Genomic DNA, 19,247 nt, shown 5'->3' with positions numbered 1-19,247 from the left:
CTCATCATTTCAAGAGGACAGTAGTTTAGCTTTAATATTAGGTTCTGTTGGTTTCTAAAATTATCACTTGGGATTTAAAATCACATCATGTATACCAGCACACAAATATGCTTCCTTTCCATACTATAACAATGAAATATCTAATGAGATCTCGTGAGCTGTCTTATCGGGGGACCTGCCCCGATAATCACGTAGGTTCTTTTCTATTTTCCTAAGTGTCGACTGGCTTGAGAAATAAAAGGACAGAGTACAAAAGAGAGAAATTTTAAAGCTGGGCGTCCGGGGGGAGACATCACACATTGGTAGGATCTATGATGCCCCACAAGCCACAAAAACCAGCAAGTTTTTATTAGGGATTTTCAAAAGGGGAGGGAGTGTGCAAATAGGTGTGGGTGACAGACATCAAGTACTTAACAGGGTAATAGAATATCACAAGGCAAGTGGAGGCAGGGCGAGATCACAGGACCACAGGATGGAGGCGAAATTAAAATTGCTAATGAAGTTTCGGGCACCATTGTCATTGATAACATCTTATCAGGAGGCAGCGTTTTGAGATCAACCGGTCTGACCAAAATTTATTAGGTGGGAATTTCCTCTTCCTAATAAGCCTGGGAGCGCTATGGGAGACTGGAGTTTATTTCACCTCTGCAATCTCGACCATAAGAGACAGGTACGCCCTGGGGGGGCCAGTTCAGAGACCTACCCCTAGGTGCGCATTCTCTTTCTCAGGGACGTTCTGTGCTGAAAAAAAGAATTCAGCGATATTTCTCCCATTTGCTTTTGAAAGAAGAGAAATATGGCTCTGTTCTGCCCGGCTCACCGGCGGTCAGAGTTTAAGGTTATCTCTCTTATTCCCTGAACAATTGCTGTTATCCTCTTCTTTTTTCAGGGTGCCCACGTTTCGTATTGCTCAGACACACATGCTGTACAATTTGTGTAGTTAACACAATTATTACAAGGTCCTAGAACGATATACATCCTCCTCAACTGACAGGATTAAGAGATTAAAGTAAAGACAGGAATAGGAAATTAAAAGGGTATTGATTGGGGAAGTGATAAGTGTCCATGAAATCTTTACAATTTATGTTTAGAGATTGCAGTAAAGACAGGCATAAGAAATTACAAAAGTATTAATTTGGGGAACTAATAAATGTCCATAAAATCTTCACAATCCACGTTCTTCTGCCATGGCTTCAGCCGGTCCCTCCATTTGGGGTCCCTGACTTCCCGCAACACTGTCTCTGTAGCAATTGTTTGCCTTCTTGCAATGTGGTGCTGCTGCCTCTCAGGCTTCTGCATGTCACCCAGAATGCAGCTCTATTCTCCAAACAGCGAACGATCCTTTCCATCTTCCAGGTATGGGGGAGGCCGGCAGCTCGCCCCTGAGCTCAACTGGCTGGCAGGTCTGATGGCTTCCCTCACACCATCCGCACTCCCAAGCCGTGTGCAAAGATCCAGCACGTTATAGAAGGTTTAAACAAGGGTCCTTGAAGTAAAGTTTTCAGAACCAGTTGTCTGGCGAACAAACAGATGCCTGTTCCAACATTTGTGTGAGGATGGCTTGAAATTTTCATTGACAGCTGAAAATAGAGCCCTCATGTCCTATAGATTAATATAAAGGATGTGAGGGCTCTATTTATCCTCTAGCACATTCTAGACGGAAACCAAGTTTCCCACTGTTAGTGGACAGAAGAAGAAAAGAGGGGAGATGGGCAACTCCCGAAGTCCGCTCTATGCCAGACACAAGTTCTGATCTCCAAATATCATCTGTACGTGTCCGGGGTGGGCGTGGGGGCCTTGGTCGTGGTGTCCTATGATTCAGACACAACCGTCCTGTCTATTCTTTTTTTTTTTTTTTGAGACGGAGTCTCACTCTGTCCCCCAGGCTGGAGTGCAGTGGCGCCATCTCGGCTCACTGCAAGCTCCGCCTCCAGGGTTCACGCCATTCTCCTGCCTCAGCCTCCGGAGTAGCTGGGACTACAGGCGCCCGCTACCACGCCCGGCTAATTTTTTTTTTTTTTTTTTTTTTTGTATTTTTAGTAGAGACGGGGTTTCACCGTGTTAGCCAGGATGGTCTCGATCTCCTGACCTCATGATCCACCCGCTTCGGCCTCTCAAAGTGCTGGGATTATTCTTAAATGATTTTATACACACCCATTTTTCCCCTTTTACCTGTAAACTTTGAAATGAAGTTGAAAGGCCACCAGTGTCCATGACAGGTCCCTCTGCACACATGGTGGCATGGTTAGGAGATACATGAGCCTGTTCCCACCCCAGGGTTTTTATTCTGTCATGCAGAGCCATGTGAAGGATGCCGGTGACTATTGAAGCCTAAACAGAACAAACCCAGGAGCCCGGGGGGAAAAATGGCTTTATTCTCAGTATGAAAGGCAAGAGGACCTGAATGGGCAAGTGGTGGGCAGATTGCTGTCACGGCCCACTTCCGATGACATTAAACAACAAAACCCAGGAATGACTTTGGACCCTGCCTTTTTCGGATTTTGATTGGTGCCATCCTGGTTCTTCCATCCTGCCAGCCAGCTGGCACCCCAGCAGTTGTGGGAAAAGGAATTTGACTTTGATTAACCGAGAAAAACTGTGCATGCGTTTTCTGTTTTTTTCTGGAACTGTGAGGGTTTTCCTATGCCCCAGGGGCTCCCTCACAGCTGTCCTATCCCAAGCATTCCCGACAGGAATCTCCAGCTGGGTTGGAGTGACAGCTGGCTTCCAGCACCGCAGCTCCGCAACCCCTGCTGGCGTCTCCTGAGGCTCGCGCGCCCCTGGTGGGCGTGAGAGGAGGCGTCCCCGCGGCGGTCCGGCCTCAGGAAGCCCGTGGGAGGCAGAGTCAGTCCCGCGGATGACGCGCCCAGTGGGCTACGTTCAGGAAGTCATTTGATCATATGGGCAGAGCGAAGGTCAAGGCATAGTGGATAACAGAAACCAGAAATGAAAAAAATCTCTTTCACTCCAGCCTCCTAACTTTCATATTATGATCCTTACAGGGGAAAGGGTAGTCAGAAAGCCACGTAGGACTGTGGAGGGAGGGAAATCCCAGTCACGTCGTTTCAGTGTGTGAAAGGCAAAGGAAATTTCGGGCCCCCAATCACTATGCAAAAAGGAAAAAATTAAGATGGAAGCTGAGCCATGCAAGAAACAGCCTTTTCCTTCTATTGCTAAGCAAATAGCTAACAGATGAAAGGCCAGATATCTCCACAGAGAGCTACACTAGGTTCACCTTTTATGTAAAGTACCGATTTACTGAGATGAATACATCACTGACTATTTTCCTACCTGCTCCTTTTCTCCTGCAATGCATGGATTATGCCATGTTGCCATACCTTCCCTCTTTCGCCTCCACTTTTCCCCTTTAAATACTGAAACCTTCAAAATATCTTTGCGGAAAGACACAGACCACAGGCTGTCTCTGTGATTGTGTGTTCCATTATTCCAGGCATGTTCTTAACCTTGGTAAAATAAACTTCTAAGTTGATTGAGACCTGTCTCAGAGACTGGTTTACAAGTGTGCATAGCACATCTGCAGGCAGGCATACATTTCTGAGGCATACTCGCTGAGATAGCTCCTTCCTTTCTCTGTCCCCCTCTTACTGACTGAATCTCATTTATGGCACTAACAGCAAAGCTGAAAGCCCCAGAAAAGATCTGGTTCACCCATTCCAGATAGGCTGCTGGAAGGTCGTTTGAGGAAGAAAAATGGGTGCCTTCCATGTTTCATGTTAACCCAATACTTTTTCCATCAAGGCAGCTGCAAAAGGATTAACATAGGTGGTCCTATTCCCTTTCCTAATTCATCCATTGAAAGCCACTGCTGGCCTGGAGTTTCATTTTCAATCCATCATGAATCTGCAGATGAATCTGCAGCTATCCCAGGGCAATCTGACAGTCCAGCCAGCAGCTGAGGCTGGATGGCAAGTTCCTATCCTCTGAGCACACATTGCTAACGTGTGACCCGAGAAGACCCAGGAGAAGTCAACAGGGCCAACTGCCAGCAGGGTTGGTCCTTGGTGTAGAGGGACAAGCTGAACTGGCCTTCAGTAATGAGGCAGACAGCTTCCCAGTTTGGGGGGATGTCACGCACCTTGGCCTGTTGCTCCTATACCCTCGGAATAGCTCTCACACCTTCTTCTTCATGTTGGACATTCCTTTTACAAAAACAGAAATCTCAAAGACAGATAAAGTTAAGAAGGTTAATCTCAGGTTAATCTCAAGGAGAGAAAAGGTATGCAAATACACCTCTGGGTGAGAAACACAGTAACTTAAATTTACCCTCGAATGAAAATGGCTGGTAACTATATAACTATATTAACCAACATTTTTTGAGCCCTTTCTGTGTACCTGCTGCTGTTCTAAGATTTTTATGCGTATAATCTCATTTAAACTCTATAGCAAACCAAAAGTAACTAAATATTCTTTTTCTTTGCATTTTTAGAGGAAAAAGCTAAGCACAGAGAGGTAAATAACTTGCCCACAGTCACACAGCTGAGGACCAGTAGAATCAGGATCTAAATGCAGTGTCTGACCTAGAACATGGGCATGTATCCACCACCTTATATTGCTTCTCTATGCAACCTGATGCCAGTTACTTGCTTAAAAGTAGGCTTCCGTAGCAGGAAGAGTTTCAAATGCAAAAAATGAGAGGGAGAACAACAGTGACAGAGAGGTTGGAGGAGTTAAGGCTTCCCCAAGCTTCATCTCACTTTATAATTCTACCTTGGGGCAGCCCAGGACATAATGACCAATGTTCTGGGCAAACTTCAGAGTGCGCCTACTTCCTTTTTAAGTCTCTGGTGAAACATCAAAGAATTCCTGCTGTGCTGCTTTATTGAAAGTAGATCTCAACTTAGTTATCTAGTGGACCCCCCCAGCTTGAGTCTTCAGTCAAGTGAGCTTCTTGTAAGGTCTCAATCACCAGTGTTGTTTTTATTTTCGTCTCAGATCTATCAAGAATTCTCGGCGTGTTGGATGGCATTTAGACATGTAGGAAGGCAATATGGCTTCCCAGAAATGAAGCGTGATTCTGAGGCTATGTTTAAACATATCAAGTGGAGAATTGGGACATTTGTCCTAATACGTTTAGCTAAGTCATGATTTTCCTTCTGATATGCAGACTGAAACAGCAGCTGATTTGCTACTTGAATGCTTTGCATTCTCTGCTTCATTTTGCATGGACAGGGGTATTGGGCTGTTCTTCAGCATTGATTGACAGCCAGTTTGGCAAATGTGGTATGGTGGTTAACAGCATTGGTTCTAGAGCCAAACTGTGTGCTTTTCAGTTGTAGGTCCACCACTTCTTAGTTTGACTGTTGGTAAAATAACTCTTTCTGCCTCAATTTACACTATGTGAAAGGAAATAATAATGGTACATGCTCCATGGGTTGTTGTAAAATTCTTATAAAGCCTACAAAATCATATCTGGCTTGCAATTATTGCTGAATAAAGTTAGCCTTTATTATTTTGCATCTTACCGTGTGTGCATAAAAACTATAGTAGATATATATCATACACACATATATACATCATGCATCATGACTTAGCCAAATTTATTAGAGCAAATGTTTCAATTCTCCTCCTGATATATTTAAACACAGCCTCAGAATTACACTTCATTTCTGAGAAGTCATACTTTCTTCCTATGTGTCTAAATAATATCCAACACTCAGAATTCTTGATAGATCTTGACAGAACTCAGATTTAGATGCCAGTTCTATTCAGAATCAAACTACATATGCCTTTCACATTGTCACTTTTAATTCATGGTTAAGAGCTTTTGAGAGTAACGTCAAAGGTACGTGACATCCTAAATCATAACTTTATCAAGGTTTGAGTTTAAATCGTGCTCATTATGAAGCCAGAATGGGTGAGTAATTCACATAACAAGTGTGTGAGCCTGGTTAACTACCCCATGTCTGCATTTCAAATCAGTTTTGGTAATCTTACATATTACATAATTTTATTTAATCTTCAAACTAATTTCATTATTTCTTTTCTTTACAAATGAGCCAATTATGCACTATAACAGTGGTGTTAATTAAGGCTTTCTCAGTTACAGGTAACAGAACCACAATCAAATTAGTTTAAGCAAAAGTGGGCACTTACCACGTAACTGGGAAAGATAGTAGATTGGTACACCTTCAGGTACAGCTAGATTCAGGTGCCCAAACAGTGTTCTCAGAGTTCTGGCTCTTCCTTTTGTGTTGTTGCCTCTCTTTGTGTATTTATTTCATTCCAAGGTAGATCTTCAAGGAGAGGAATTTATGAGGTCCACAGACCGATAGATTGAGAAGACTAACCCTTTTCTTCTCCAAATGTTCAGGTATATGTGGCAGTACAGGGTATCATGATTGGCTTAGTCTGAGCCATGTGCTGGCCCCATAGAAATAATTATATCCATTAGGATCATGTTTTCTGTGAATGCCAGACATTCAAAATAATAGCGACTTAAAGTAGAAGTTTATTTCTCTAACACAGATAAGCAGCCCAAGACTGGTGTGGCAGCCTGGCTCGGTGCAGTCCTCAGAAATCCAGATACTTTCTATTTTTTTAATCTGCTTTTGCCAAGGTCACCACGTGGCCCCATTTGGCAGCTCTCACTCTGGCCATTACATCCCCTTATCAGTCATTAGGATAGAAGAAGGGACTACAGGTGTGCACCAAGACTCCTTTAGGAAAGGTTCCCAGAAGCTCACATGCAACATTCCTTCTTCCATTCCACTGGCCTGAATTTGATCACACTACCTCACTGTATCAGTCTGCTTTCACGCTGCTATAAAGAACTACCTGAGACTGGGTAATTTATAAAGGAAAGAGGTTTAATTGACTAGCAATTCTGCAAGGCTGGGGAAGCCTCAGGAAACTTACAATCATAGTGGAAAGCAAAGCGGAAGCAAGGCACGTCTTACATGGTAGCAAGACTTGAAAAGTGAGAGAACAAGGAGGTGTGCCACACTTTAAAACCATCAGCTTTCATGAGAACTCACTCACTATCACAAGAACAGCATGGGGGAAGCCACCCCCATGATCCAATAACCTCTCACCAGTTCCCTCCCTCCACACGTGGGGATTACAATTCAAGATGAGATTTGGGTGGGGACACAGAGACAAACCATATCACCCATCTACCTGCAAAGGAAGCAGGAGAAGGTAAACTAGACTCTGAGTAGCCATTTGACCAGTTGGAGTTTGGGGATTCTATTACTGAGAAAAGAAGAATGGATGTTGGTGACCATTTTTGTTGGGGGCTGATATCTGAACATCTCCTCTGCCTCCTGCTCTCTTCTCATACCTTTCTTATGACCCCATTTTTCTATTCTCCCTTTATTCTCTTGACCAGATAGGATCTTTAAATGTTTTTAATGATTTTCATTGAGCTGGTGAGCCACACATGGGTCAATTTGTCCTAAATTTGTCTAGGCCCTGAGGGATGCTGTGACCCAGATGAGGCCCATGTCTCAATCCATTCTGGGATTCCAGGACTAGTCCTTGGTAAAATTGTGGAAGGCAAAGAGAGATGGGTCTTGTCTTTACTCTGATATCACTGTTAGCTGCAACTCTTACACACACACACACACACACACACACACACACATCCTGTTAGGCTGCCTTACCCATATCAAATATTTCCTATCATATTTTTTCACATCAGTACTCATTAGAGGTCACTGGCACCTGACTCCATTATCTCCCATCCCCCATTCATTAGGGTTTTCAAGAGTCTGCTAAATGACACTCACAGCTACAGGATAACTATAAATCTTTTCAAACTTTTCTTTGCTTAGAGACTTTTGAAAAACATACTTATATTAAAATTGGCATAAGAAAGATGTTTTAGCCATATTTATAAACATATAGAAATTTGAGTAGGTGACAAATCATCCATAAACCTGATATCCCTAATAAGGGAAACCAAGTAAAAAAGACCTTTACATAGTGTTCAATATAGATTTGCCTATATTTTATAGCACCTTCCAAACCTCTAATCTTATTAAGGTTTTCTGTAGTCAAACAAGAATAATAGATTCTGCTATTAAGTGGCTCTGTGACCTGCCTAAGGCACTTAGCCTCTCCAGAATTGCCTCAGTTTACCCAAATACAAGAGGTGGACTTCAGAATCTCTAAAAATTTCATCAAGCCATAAAACAGATGATATAATTCATGAGAAAGGAGGAGCTCAAGAAGGGAAGGTGTGAGATCATCTGTAATTTGCTTGTAAATGTCTCCATATAGGTATTACACTGTATACAGCCTGCAGGGGGACTATAATCCACACCCTGGGGGAGGTTAAATAGTATGCAAAGTATTCTGAAAAGGAATACACACTCCAATAGCAGTTAGTTAGTATTTGAAAGATCCTAATCAAAAGTCTCTACTGGAGAAATATCTGTTGCAAAACTTTAAATATTTCTATAGCAAGCTATACCAGAGGGTTTGTTATTAGTATAAAGGATGCTTAAAATAATTTTTGCATTGGTTAAATACAATTATCAAGATAGCTATAGGTACAATACTTTGGCAGGCCCAGTGAACTAACTTTTGGGGTAGAACCTTTGACTAGAACTCTATTTGGTCCTAGTTTTCACTCACTTAATACAAGTTTTCATTGGCTCATCCAACTAGAGCAGTGATTCCCAATCAGTAATGATTTTGCCCCTTGGGGGACATTTGTCAATGTCTTAGAGATTTGGGATTGTCACTACTGGGGAAGTGTGCTATGAGCATAAAGTAAGTAGAGGCCAGGGATGCCACTAAACATATCACAATGCAGAGAACAGCCCTCACAGAAAAGAATATCCAGCTCAAAATATCACCAGGGCTGAGGTTCAGAAACCCTAGGGTAGAGAGTTGACTGATCCTGGCCTTCAGATTATTTGAATGCATGTGTGTAGAATGAACCTTTAATCCAAGAGGCTTGGTGCTGGAGCACTTAAAAGGACAGAGCAGAGACTTCCCTACACATACAAAACAGGTTGGATGGCTATTTGTGGGTTTGTTGGTTTATCGGGGGAACCAGACTCCAATATTTCAATGCAAGTTCTTTCTATTTTCCCTAAGTGTTGGCTGGTCTGAGAAATAAAGAGAAAGAGCACAAAGGAGGAATTTTACAGCTGGGCCTCTGGGGGTAACATCACATATTGGGAGGTCCGTTATGTCCCCTGAGCCACAAAACCAGTAAGTTTTTATTAGGATTTTAAAAGCGGAGGGGGTGTACAAACAAAGAGAAGGTCACAAAGATCACATGCTTCAAAGGGCAATAAAGATCACAAGGCAAAGGCAAAATTAGAATTACTGATAAGGATCTATGTCCCACTGTGCACATACTGTCTTAATAAACATCTTAACAGAAAACAGGGTTCGAGAGCAGAGAACCAGTTTGACCAAAATTTACCAGGCTGGAATTTTCCAATCCTAGTAAGCCTGAGGGTACTGCAGGAGACCAGGGAATATTTCAGTCCTCATCTCAACCACATAAGACAGACACTTCCAGAGCGGCCATTTATAGACCTCCCCCCAGGAATGCATTCCTTCCCCAAGGTATTCCTTGCTGGGAAAAGAATTCAGCAATATCTCTCCTACTTGCACATCTGTTTATATGCTCTCTGCAAGAAGAAAAATACAGTTCTATTCTGCCTGACCCTGCAGGCAGTCAGACCTTATGGTTATCTTCCCTTGTTCCCTGAAAATCGCTGTTATTCTGTTCTTTTTCAAGGTGCACTGATTTCACATTGTTCAAACACACATGTTTTACAATCTATTTGTACAATAGTGGTCCTGAGGTGACATACATTCTCAGCTTATGAAGATAATGGGATTAAGAGAGTAAAGACAGACATAAGAAATTATAAGACTATTATTAGGGAAGTGATAAATGTCCATGAAATCTTCACAATTTATGTTCAGAGGCTGCAGTAAAGACAGGCGTAAGAAATTATAAAAGTAGCAATTTTGGGAACTGATACATGGCCATGAAATCTTCACAACTGATGTTCTTCTGCCGCAGCTCCAGCTGGTCCCTCCGTTCAGAGTCCCTGACTTCCCACAACAATGGTTAACAAATATGAATGTGTAGCAGAATTTAGTTCAAATCTTGATTCATTTTAACATAATCAGAGAGGGGGTTAGAGTTCCCATCCACTTCTAATTATCAGAGGCTCCAGATATTACTGAAAGAACCTGACATTTGTGAATGGCCAGATTGGCTCAGCTCAGTTCACAGAAGGAAAGGATGCAGATGGGGATGTATCAAGGATATGGTGTGGGAAGCATGAGACATTTTCAAAATTTCAAGCCACTATGACTTATTCCCACTATGTAAGATTAAAGAAGTCAGACACTCAGATTCAGGGAGGATTTCCCACATTTTTCATGTTGCTCATCTAAATCCCAAATTCCATACTGCCTAGAGATTATGAAATGCTTAATTTCTACCCACTCCCCATCCTACATGCCCACTTTGCCATCACCATCCCAACACCTCAAAAGAATAAAGTATCTGCTAGTCCTCCTGGAATGATTGAGGGTTTGGGCTCAAAGAAAAGCTGAATACCATGTCAGATTTATGGTGAGCCAGATCATTAATCAACTGAGGTGACCATTAATCACCAAAAGTGATAAAGATAGATAGTAGGCATGGTACTGGTTGAGAATCTAGAGAGAAATAAATATCAAAATGCTTTACCCTCATTCTGGTACCTCCTTATCATTATTTTGACCTAGCAGTTTTAATTTGCAGTACTAGATGAAAATACTAGGTTATCTTTGAAATTTGAGCTTCTGCTTCTTCCAGAGAGAAACTCATATATTTAAGAAATGTTGTCATTGGTTTGGGCTAGGGACCTTTCCATGTGAGACAGACCACAGCATGTTCCTTTTAATAAAACCAAAGGACAATAACAGCAGCAGCAGCAACAAAGCCTAGAGTTCACTTCTGAGGTCAGATACTCAGCAGAGTGTTAAGGGCATAGCTTTCTTTAGGCCTAACTATGAGGTTAGTGGAGGGTTTGCAGGACTGTGAAGCACAGCGAGAAACAAAGCTGGAATCCATTTCCAATCTGGACTTTGGAGATAATACAACTGGGCTGGTGACAGGATAGCTTCCTATCTAGTCTGAACATTGAATAGTAATATTTTCATACATATTAAACTCTAAGATAGGTTCATATTCATTATCCCATTGTATTACTCTGCTACTCTGTAAGTAGTAAAGTCATGTGGAAGGAGATAGTCAGCTATTATTTCCATTTGACAAGTTAGTAAACTAAGATCAAGAGCTTAAATGATTTCTTACTAAAATTACCCAGCCAGCTGGATGGGCAATCCAAGCCTGCAGCCAGGATGCTTGGCTTCCAGACTTGTTTTCTATCCACTAGAGCAGTGGTTCTCAAGGTGTCTGTGAGGTGGGGGTTGTGGGGGAGTCAGTAGCAGTAGCAGCATGGCCTGAGAACTTATTAGATTCTGGCACATTCTTATACCTTGTTAGATCCTGGCACATTTAAGAATGTACATTCTTAGATCTCACCCTAGATCTACTGACCCAGTTTCTACAGAGGACAGGAAGATGTCAAGGTGGGAAGCCCTCCACATGCCATCACATGCATGGTCTGGGAACATCTGCATGAGGGAATCTCCCTGGTCCTCTTGGGTTGTGGTGACTTACGGAAGCTCTTGGGAGGGACCTGGAGGCTCTACTGAAAGTGGAGGTTTGTAAAGTGTGGGGCCCTGTAATCTGTTTTAATCAGTCCTCCCTGGGATACAGATGCACCTCAAGTTTGAGAGGTATTGCCCTCAGGGGTGCTGTTTTCACTTGCTACAAATTGTTCTCATACCTTTGCATTAAAGAAACTCTTGTTAATCTCTCATTTTGTTTCCAGTGCATTTTAACTCTACAAAATTGTCATAAAGTCTCTACTTAGGAAACCTTATAACTTAAAGGACCACTCAGAATCCTTAAAATATTTTTGTTTGTTAAATTTCCTGAGCTGACTCATTGCTGATTGGGTATAGAAACTTTAGCTTTTTTTTTTTTTTTTTTTTTTTTTCACTTGATCTATCTTGGAACTTCCTTGCCCCAGCTAGATTTTTATCTCCTTAGGAACTATGGAAAGAAAGCATATCTAAAAATACTTCTTTAAAGTTCTCTGATACCTTCTGTTTGTTAATATGATAATGTTGTACATAAATAGCTATAAAATATACTGTTAAACTTAAAAGATCTGGGAAAGAGCTTTTGAACACCCCCAACCTTCAACACACACATGCACACCCACACGTACATACAATACCAGATACAAAGAAGGTGCTAACTCAATATTTATTAAATTTATTAAAGGGCTTCTCTTAGAATCTCAGAGGAAAGCAAATGCTGTGAAGCCAGCCTGCCTGGAAGTACCTTTATTTGAAATCTTTAACAAGATCTTAAAAGAGTAATGACAGTACTGTGTCTAATGAAAAATGAGTATTTGATTCTAACATATTCAACATAAGAATTTCATAATATATATTTGATCTGCAATATAAATGAGAGTTTCTATATCTTATTCATTCATTTATTGTTTTATTCATTCAACCATTGTTGAGTGCCCACAATGTGCCAGCCATGCATCTAGGCACGTGGCCAGCATGGTCAATAACAACATGTGCCTGCCCTCATGGGGCTTACAGTCTATAGGAAAGACAGTCAATCAAACAAGTGGTTTACAATGAAGTATGATGAATGTTGTCACAGGACACACTAGATACATTAGGAGCACATAGCAGAGTAACAGAATTATGTGGGGCAGAAAGATGACAAGGGTCACACATGGGGCTGGAGGCCTTAGACCTTGGAGATCCTATCCAAAGCAAGGCTGACAAAAAAGCTGCCCCAAACTGCACTGACCATTGGAAGGTAAGGCCTGCATGGAGGAGGTGCTGCTGTGGTCTGGCCAATGCCAACAGGCAGGTCACTTCCTTGGCCTTTGGGAAAGGATGGCAATGATGGAGAAGGTCAAGAAGATCACACCAGCCGTGCCTCCAATCACCATGCCCAGGACGCTGCCGTGCAACTGCATGGCCTGACAGCGCTCCCATTTAGAAGAAAGCATGTCCAGAGATGCACCTGAGGGAAAAGGACATGAAGAGAGTGTGGGAACTCCCAGGCCTCAGGTGCCTCCTAGCAACACTCATCTCCACAGCAATAAAAATGGCAAACGCTCACTGAGCAGGTCCACGTGGTGCCTGGTCCCATTTCAAGTGCTGTATATGGACCAACTAATTTAACCCTTCAACAACTTTTGAGGTGGAGGCTATTACTTGGCCATTCTCATCATCTTCATCTTACAGGAAGGTTAAATAATTTGCTCAAGGTCCCATTGTTAGTAAGCATTTCACACTTGAAATCTAATCCCAAGAGGTATGCCTCCAGATCCAGGCTTCTCAGCCACCTAGGATTCAGGAGGATGGTCTGAGACACTTAAAGGAATACATTGCCTGACACTGGCTAAGAATACAAGCTACAAAGGAAATTCCCCAGATACAGTCTGACTTAGAGCATCAGTGGTAGCTTGAAAACGTCTAAATAATATTAAATAAAATGTTACTGTAAGGTTAGTGTGTACTGTCACTATCTCACAAGGTTGCCCTGAAGTTCACCTGAGATAATGAGGACATTGTACCTATCAAGGTATTTGACACAGAGTAAGCACATAATGGCCAGCCCTTAGTTTTGTTTCTTAATGTTATCTGGTATAAAGACGAATTAATCTCATAACCAAGGCATATAACTTGTAGTGTCTCATCCATACCTTTGTAAAAATTCCAGCCTTTGTTTCAAACATTCCCACTAGAAGGTCTACTCAGCAGAATTCTACAAGGCAGAGTGAAACAATCAGAAGTCAGCATTTTCTGGCTGGGCATGGTGGCACACGCCTGTAATCCCAGCACTTTGGGAGGCCAGGTGGATCACCTGAGGTCAGGAGTTTGAGACCAGCCTGGCCAAAATGGCGAAACCAGACTGGCCAACATGGTCTCATCTCTATTAAAAATAACAACAACAACAAAAATAGCCAGACATGGTGGTGGGCACCTGTAATCCCAGCTACTCGGGAGGCTGAGGCAGGAGAATTGCTTGAACCCGGGAGGTCGAAGTTGCAGTGAGCTGAAATTGTGCCATTGCACTCCAGCCTGGGTGACAAGAGCAAAACTGTGTCTCAAAAAAAAAAAAAAAAAAAAAAAGAAGTCAGCATTTTCTTTTACTAATCCTGAATGATTTTACCTTCCAAGTCCTCATCTCTATCCTGAGAATTGACTTCTTAGAAATCAGTGAGTAATAGCAAGTTTATTTCATTTTTTTTCTGACCCAGTCCCCTCCAAACACAACTTCGTAATATCCCCTACTGTTATCTTAGAAAAACTTATTCTGCCAACTCTCAGCTGCAGGTTTCTAGGAGAGGAATAGTTTGGCTGAGTAGAGGCTGACATACAAGTGGCAACCCTGGCCTCCCTTAGCCTGGGAAGGATGAAGCGTGTTGGGGGCACACAATGGAATCTGGCATCTAAGGACCTGTCAGGCAAAGATATGAAGACCCATGGCTTTGGAGCCCAGAAACAGATGGGCCTTCCCCAGTAAAAGGAGCCAGAGGGCTTCTTGGAAGAGTGATTGATTCTATGGGTGGGGCAGGAAATATAAAAGATGAGCCTAGAGCATGCTATGGTGCCAGAAAGTAACATTGTGTTCATAAAATCTGATGTTGAAAGATCACAGGAGCCAACCTGGAAGAGCTCCCAAAGGCCAAAGCTGGGACAATAGAAGCAACAAAATAAATTATGAAATCATTGCAACAGAGCCCACTGAATAAAATAAATGTTTATGATTCCTTTGTGATATACATAAATAATCACATAAACAAATTAACGGGGTGAAGGGGCCATTCTTCTTTACAGAAGAATTCTAATTAATGAATGTGAAGGACATAGGAAATCAACATTAGAAGATCCCAGTGGTGAATATTGCAGCAGGTTGTATCAATAGATGCTGAAATTAGCATGTGAGGATTTGAGGAAAAGCAGGATGTCTCAATGGTCTTGAACTATCTCTCCCAAGATATGTATCAATTACCGAGGGAGAAATGGTAACTCTTCAGTGGAGAGGCCTGGTGGACATGCTGTTGGCCAGATGATGAAGGTTGACATCACCAGTAATGACATGTATCGGCATCATGTACCTGCTCACATGATGCAACAAGAAGGCACAGCACATATTTACTAATCTTGCCACAAATGTGAAACCTCAATTTAATCATGAGAGAACAAGATGAACCAAAAAAAAATCCCTAACCAGTAATCTTCAAAAGTGTCAAGGTAATGAAAGACAAGAAAGAACTGAGTAATTGTCCCAGATTGGAGGGGATTAGGAGACAGGAGACATAAAAACTAAATGTAACGTGAGATCCGGAATTGGATCCTGAAATAGAAAAAGAACATTAGTGGGAGAACTGAGAAGAGCCGAATAAGGCCTGTAATTTATTTACTAGCATTCTACCAATGTTCATTTCTTGGCTATGCTAATTGTACTACGGTTTGTGTAATATGCCAACATTACGGAAAGCAGGGTGAATGGTATAGAGAAAGCCTCTGTAGTATTTTCGCAAGGTATCTGTAAGTCTAAAATTATTTCAAAGCAAAAGCTACAAAAAGAAAAAAAAGGAGACTAAAAAGAACTCAGAAGTAATGTAAATTTTTGAGGTAGGCAGAATAGCTCCTACATCTGCTACTGTTCAAATGGAACTGTTGCTTCTGTCATCACATACCTCCTTTTGTGAAACAGTTTTTAGGGTTTTATGCAAGCAAACATTATAAAAAGAACTATTAAAGTTCTTTTTAAATATTCAAATTTAAATATAGCAAACTGTACTGCTTTTTAATATTTAAACATTAAATATAGCAAACTGTGCTGCCAGACAGACCTAGATGCAAGTCCCAGCTTCAGCATTTTCCATCTGGGTACATTTTAGATAAATTACTTAACCTTTCTAAGCCTCAACTTCTTGATACACCAAATGGGGATAAGGAGAGCCCTTATGTCACAGGTGGCAGTGAGAATGAATTTAGATCATGCGTGTAAGATGCTCAGGAGACCACATGATGCATAACAAGGGGTCAGAAATATCAGGTGTTCTTACTACTATTATTGAAAACATAACTTTAATAATAGTGCAGTGTAAATGACAGACTGTATAACTAATAATCATTAGGAGCTAATAATAACATCTGTGTAGTCAGCAAAGATTTAAGCTTGGTCTTGAGACCCACTGTCATGGAGTAGAAAGTCCCTAGGCTAGAAGCCATCTTGGATGTTGTTAGAGTTAGAAATTCCAACAACATCCAAGATGCTGTTGACAATACCCCAGAGGAGGAAAAGGGGTGAAAGTCAAGAGACAAGGAGACCTGGGACGCCTCTGTCCTGGCAGCGTAAGCCCATGAATCCAGGGCACACCTTTGTAGAGTCAAGGAAAACCGCATCCAGCTGACCATCTGAGGTAGTCTTCGCCCTACTCTGCAAACAGCAGCCTTTACCAGGCATAAGCATGCACACGGCCCAGGTCTGCTGGCCTGCCTGTCTCCCCGGCCACAGAGCCTACCTGCACCTCGCCACCCGCTTCAGGTTCACACAGATGCCATCATTTTGGCAAGGGTTTGGGTCACATGGGTCTCTGAAGTACTGTGGCCAGTTATGGTCCTCCAGGGGGCCTGTGTTCTTCACTGACGGCTTCTGTCAGCCGGGCTGCCCCTGGCTGAGGCTGACAGGTACAGCTTCCTCTAACATGGCCTTTCCTGAACCTTCTTTGGAGACCTGCTGCTCCTGGCCTTGGAGAATGAGGCCTTGGGGGCTCAGTCTTTTGCCTTTAGTGGGAACTTCAGTCTGGCTGAGGTGGGTGATATCTTCAGGAAATAGAGGGTCACGAGGAAGATCCAGGATTAGTAACTGACTACAGCGAACTCCCACTTCTGGTGAAAGTTCCCCAGCCTGCTTCTATCTCTAGTGATATGTCACCCCCAGTGACATGGAAAAGTGGCTTTGAATCCAGCTGATTCCCACGGTACTAGCTAGTTTTATTTTAAAGTAATCCAGTCACATTTTTATTTATTGAATTTGCAAAATGAAGCATAAAGTTAGCATGGATAGACTGATGGAAACTAAATTGAAATCAGTGAACTGTTACCTCTGATAAAATTTTCAAAAAGATGACACTAAAATTTCAGTTTCTTTCAGGGACAGTTAAAATAAAGATGTGAGTCCTTGACCAATTGAAGAAAATGTGGTTCTCCTACAACACATTTTTTTTAACCTCATCCCCACCCTCCATGTGTGCTTTAAAATCAGGATAAAATCAGTAGAGTGCCAAGAGCATAGGATTATTTACTCAGGAAGACCAAGAAAAGTACCTTCAAAGTCCACAAACATGATGAGGTCATCATTTTTCAGGAAACTCCTCCTTTTCAGCATTTGGTGGGAGATGAAACCACTCCAGCCAAAGTCAATGCTTCTAAAACAATTACAGTCAGCATGATAGGTTCCCACCCTGGACGGCCTGTCCCAGATGACAGTGTCATTTGTCGCTGCAAAATTGTAGGTAACATAAAATCACATTACCTCTTTAGACTTCACTTTCCAGTTTGTCTTTTATGAGGATACAGGGCTTTGTGAATCAGAAAAAAATAAATAAATAAAAATAAAAATAAAAAAAGTGTTGGAAAAAAATTAAGCTATTTACTCTTTCCAGGAGAATTGCAATTCAGAATTGAAAGATGGGAGAAGCAGAGAATCACAGCTCTGAGTGATCAGTTGTCTGCTACTGCGTGACTTTTTTAATGAAAAGAGAGGGACAGCTATGGCTTCTTTCTTCTGAGGCTTAGGTCTTCTCTTTTGAAAAAAAAAAATAGTGCCAGGTGTGGTGGTTCATGTCTGTAATCCTAGCACTTTGGAAGGCTGAGGCAAGTTGATTGCCTGAGCTCAGGAGTTCAAGACCAGCCTGGGCAACAGGGTGAAACCCCTTCTCTACTCGGGAGTCTGCAATAGGAGAATTGCTTGAACCTGGGAGGTGGAGGTTGCAGTGAGCCAAGATTGCGCCATTACATTCCAGCCTGGGTGACAGAGCGAGACTCCATCTCAAAAAAAAAAAAAAATAGTTTTCCCATTTCTTTACTGATGTAAGTTTATTTCATGAACATAGTGATATTGAGTGCTATTTTAGGAGTAAGTACATTAGCTCTGCACAGAGCCTAGCAAGTTCCGAGTATTTGATAAATGATTAGCAGTATCTGTTTCCTCAATCACAATGAGATCAATGAGGCAGGGATCACCTGATTCACTTGTATTGTAAGTACCTAGCACAGAGTTTGGCACATGGTAAGCCCTCAACAGATGTTTGATGAGTGAATTTAGGAAAGGGAAGGAGGATGTGATGGCATTGAAAATCTTAACTTGAAACTCCAACACGCCTATGTTATCGGTATTCCCAGGCGGAAAATGTGAGGAGAACGTTACTCTTTCTTGCACCACAGAATCACATCTGTGGGCCTCTCTGGTTCGAGGGGCAGTTCTTATTTATGCCAACACCACCCACCTGGAGATATGTGCAACTTGGAGGTAGTGAACACCAAACTTAAGGACATCCTGTTCCTGACATCAGGTCCTGGTCGAAGATGGTAATTATCACCTGTCTGTTTTCTACCGGCCACTCCAGGATAGCATCATTCTCCCCACTGCACATGTAAAAAGCAAGTCTCAAATAGCCAGAGCTTTCTCTGCCATGGGGGTATAAAGTTAACCCAAAACCGCATCCCTCTGAATTGTAGAATCGAGGGCTCTGAAGCTTGTCCCCTTCGCTGGTGTTCTCAAGGACCTGGGAGAAATTCTGGACTGTCCAGACCCCTGTGGGGCAGGGGGTTTCTGTCAAGAGTGATGTCATCCAGGTAAATTCCCCCAGTTGAGTTCCGAGGGTCGCCTTTTGTGCCCTGGAAAAGTTAGCGAAATTCCTGTTCCTCTTTGAGTACCACATGGGCAATTTTCCAATTATGGTCATCATCTCCTGAGGACAGAGAACAAGGCTGGTGAGAATTGTGGCCAACACTGAATGAGTACTTATTATGAGTGTGGCACAGTGCCATGTGCTTTCCATAAATGATCTCATTAAATCCCCACAGCAGCCCTATAAAATAGGTACTATTATGAACTGGTTAAGTAACTTTTCCAAAGT

At 42.2% G+C, this 19,247-nt stretch overlaps 1 pseudogene; it reads right to left on the bottom strand.

Annotated features, from left to right (window-relative positions):
• MEP1AP3 (meprin A subunit alpha pseudogene 3) lies at nt 12,309–19,081 on the bottom strand (annotated as a pseudogene).

Source organism: Homo sapiens, chromosome 9 (assembly GCF_000001405.40).
Source record: "Homo sapiens chromosome 9, GRCh38.p14 Primary Assembly".
In the NCBI taxonomy this organism is placed as follows: domain Eukaryota; kingdom Metazoa; phylum Chordata; class Mammalia; order Primates; family Hominidae; genus Homo; species Homo sapiens.
Note: the sequence above shows the minus strand (reverse complement) of the source record. Positions and strands in the feature narration are given on the sequence as shown.